At 44.2% G+C, this 4,012-nt stretch overlaps 1 annotated feature.

Moving 5' to 3' along the window:
- Nucleotides 3,124-3,807: an enhancer, noted in NCBI's record as "H3K27ac-H3K4me1 hESC enhancer chr14:78479894-78480577 (GRCh37/hg19 assembly coordinates)". NCBI's record gives its function as "activates a minimal SCP1, AML or CMV promoter by ChIP-STARR-seq in naive H9 embryonic stem cells {active_cell/tissue: H9 hESC(naive)}" and the evidence as "EXISTENCE:reporter gene assay evidence [ECO:0000049][PMID:30033119]".

The following is a 4,012-nucleotide window of genomic DNA, read 5'->3' as shown; positions in this document are numbered from 1 at the left end:
GCAACAGAGCAAGACTCCGTCTCAAACAAACAAACAAAACACAGTTTTAATTTTTGTATAATTTACCTATTTTTTATTTTGTTGTCTAAGCTTTTTGTTTCCCACCTAAGGAATGTTTTTTAAATTATTCTGACTGCCATTTTGAAAATTGACTATACTGGATCAAGAATGAAAACAGAGAGGAAGTATCTATAATGACAGAGGAAAGTTTATAGGATTATGGACTAAAGTGGTCTATAGTAGGGATGGAGAAAAGTAGATAGATTTTGGGATACGTTTTGAAGATAAAATAGATACAACCTGATTAGTTGGATGAGAGATACAAAGAAAAAAAAGAATAAAGAATGACTCCTACTGTTTTGGCCCGAGCTGCTAGAGGACTGGTGGTACCATCATGAGATGGCAACAATTAGGGAAAGAGCTGATTTATAGAAGATTTTATCATGTTTTGTGGAAGCTATCATATATCCAAATAGAGTTGTCTGACAAGTATCTGGATAGATATACAAGCCTGGAGTTAAGAGGAAAGAACCATGTGGTAGATTTGGAATTCCCTTGTTATCTATTGCCACAATACTGCATAACAACTATAAAACCCTAATTGCTCATGCATGGAGAAAGGCTGACTAGATAGCTTTGACAATCTTGGCTAAACTCACACATCAGGGAGTCAGCTAGCTGGCTGTTTATCCAAGCCAGCCTCACCTCTCTGCTTCACATATCTCCCATCCTCCATAGACTAGTCCAACGATGTCTTATGGAATTGACAGAACTGCAAGAGATAAAGACCAAGCCTAATTGTCCAAGCGTTTTTCAAGCCTCTACTTGCATCAAATTTGCTGATATTCCACTGGTTAAATCTAGTCACAGGGCCTCGCCCAGAGACCAGAGTGGGGAAGCATTGCAAAGCTACTTGGCAAAGAGGTGAAGAAATGGAGCCACTTTTGTAGTTGCCACATCACAACTGTGTAGAGATTGTATTTAATGCCTTGGGACTAACAGGAAAGTATAGAAGATGCAAAGACAGATGACCACTATCTGTCTTTGCCAAGAATCAAAGAGGATAATGACCGGCACCATCCTCTGAGACTTAACTCTGATGGTCTGCATGTCTTATCTGGACTACTTGCTGTAAGAATGGAAACAGCAAGATCTTAGGATGATTTGAAGAATGACTAGATTCTGTCCTAGGCTGGTAGGTGATAGAGTTTCTGAGACATGTTCAGATTCAGATAACTTTTAAAGGTCAAGCTAATAGAACTTTGATGGAGTATGACAGACAGGTAAGAAACAAGGAGATTCCTAGGTTTCTTGCCTGAACAATGAGGAGCGCCATTACTAGGACGGGAAAAACAGAGAGAGGACAGGTTTGGCACATAAAACAAGAATACGGTTTTGGAACATGGAAGTTTGAGATCCCAGTGGAGCTGCTTGGCAGGTAATTGAATATGAGAGTGTAAAGTTCAGGGAAAAGTTTAAGTTTAGAGATATAACTTTAACAGCTATCAACAAATGAGGCTATTTAAAACCATGTGAATGGAAGAGATCACCTAAGTTACGATGCATGTAAAGAAAAGATGATGACAGTCTAACCAATTAACTGTGTTCTACTCCTTGACCTCTCCATCTGGTAGACACCCACTACCTTCTTCATAGCTCTCAAATGTGGACCCTCCTGTGTCATTCCTACAATTCATACTGTCTTAGTCAAAGTCTTCATCTTTCACCTAGACCACTGCAATTGCTTCCAACTGGTCTCACTGTCTCCAAGGTCACTTCATTAGCTCATTCTCCATATACAGTCACCAGGGGAGATCTTTGTCACAGCAATCTATTTTTGCCACTCCTGCTTTAAAAGCTTAATACAAACTCAATCATGAATGGATCAATCTGACATCATCTGAATTCAGTGACTAAAGGTAACATCACTAATCATGGAACAAATGTGATTCTGCAGGAAACACATCGCACCACTGATGAAGTTTTCCTGCCAAAAGAGAGAATCTCATCTGATCAAGCCTCTAGCTCTAACTACTAGTGCGTAGAAAGTAAGGGAGTTAGAGGAGCTTGTAGTACCATGAGGGGACAATTAGCCAAATCCAAACTTTGGGAGACAACAGGACAACCTAGTTTCCTAAAACAATAACAAAATTTAAGCGGGGGGAACTATGGGGGGAAATGTGGAGAATGTAGATTAAGAGAGAATCAAGAGATGAACCATCCACATGCCGTATGTGCACTGTGTTTGGATTCTGATTTAAACAAATCAACTGTAAAAAGACATGTTTGAGACAGGAAAAATTCAACATATGCAGTATTTTAAATGCTATTAAGGAATTTTTGTTTATTTTCTTGGGTGTGAAAATGAAACAGTGGTTGTATATTTTAAAAGAAATTATCTGGTATGTTTTTATGGCTATATTTTTTTAAAAAAAGAAATTATATTGAAATGTCCATGAGTACTGGATTTGCTTCAAGATACTCCAGAAATTAAAAAAGAAATTTGGCCAAACATGGTGGCTTGCACGTATAATCCCAGCACTTTAAGAGGCCAAAGAGGATCGCTTAAGGCCAGAAGTTCAAGACCAGCCTGGGCAACATAGTGAGACTCCATCTCTAAATTTAAAAATATAAGAAAATTTTAAAAAGAAAATTGAGAGAAACCATGAAACAAAAATGGGAGAAAGTTGGTAGCTATTAAAGCTGGGTATGGGTACACAAGGCTTCATTGTCCTATTTTTGTGTGTTTGAAAATTTTCCATTATAAAAAGCAAAAAAAGGAAAAATCATAACACATGTAGCAAGTCAAACTGAGAGGTGACAGCATGCTGGCAGTCCTCACAGCCCTTGCTTGCTCTCGGCACCTCCTCTGCCTGGGCTCCCACTTTGGCGGCATTTGAGGAGCCCTTCAGCCCACCACTGCACTGTGGGAGCCCCTTTCTGGGCTGGCCAAGGCTGGAGCCCACTCCCTCAACTTACAGAGAGGTGTGGAGGGAGAGGCGCGAGCGGGAACCGGGGCTGTGTGCGGCGCTTGTGGGCCAGCTGGAGTTTCGAGTGGGCTTGGGCTTGGCGGGCCCCACACTCAGAGCAGCCGGCCAGCCCTGCTGGCCCCAGGCAATGAGGGACTTAGCACCCAGGCCAGTGGCTGCGGAGGGTGTACTGGGTCCCCCCAGCAGTGCCAGCCCACCGGCGCTGCGCTCGATTTCTCACCGAGCCTTAGCTGCCTTCCCGCGGGGCAGGGCTCCAGACCTGCAGCCTGCCATGCCTGAGCCTCCCACCTACTCCATGGGCTCCGGTGCGGCCCAAGCCTCCCCGACGAGCAGCACCCCCTGCTCCACAGCGCCCAGTCCCATCGACCACCCAAGGGCTGAGGAGTGCGAGCGCACGGCGCGGGACTGGCAGGCAGCTCCACCTGCAGCCCTGTTGCAGGATCCACTAGGTGAAGCCAGCTGGGATCCTGAGTCTGGTGGGGAGGTGGATAGTCTTTATGTCTAGCTCAGGGATTGTAAATACACCAATCAGCACCATGTGTTTAGCTCAAGGTTTGTGAGTGCACCAATCGACACTCTGTATCTAGCTGCTCTGATGGGGCCTTGGAGAACCTTTATGTCGAAACTCTGTATCTAACTAATCTGATGGGGACGTGGAGAACCTTTGTATCTAGCTCAGGGATTGTAAACACACCAGTCTGCACCCTGTGTCTAGCTAAGGGTTTGTGAGTGCACCAATCTACATTCTGTATCTAGCTGCTCTGGTGGGGCCTTGGAGAACCTTTATATCTAGCTCAGGGATTGTAAACCCACCAATCAGCACCCTGTCAAAACAGACCACTTGGCTCTACCAATCAGCAGGATGTGGGTGGGGCCAGATAAGAGAATAAAAGCAGGCTGCCCGAGCCAGCAGTGGCAAGCGTCTCAGGTCCCCTTCCACGCACGCTGTGGAGGCTTTGTTCTTTCACTCTGCAATAAATCTTGCTACTGCTCACTCTTTGGGTCCATGGTGCTTTTATGAG

The sequence above is a fragment of the Homo sapiens genome, chromosome 14, assembly GCF_000001405.40.
Source record: "Homo sapiens chromosome 14, GRCh38.p14 Primary Assembly".
NCBI lineage: Eukaryota > Metazoa > Chordata > Mammalia > Primates > Hominidae > Homo > Homo sapiens.
This window is presented reverse-complemented; position numbering and strand designations above follow the sequence as displayed.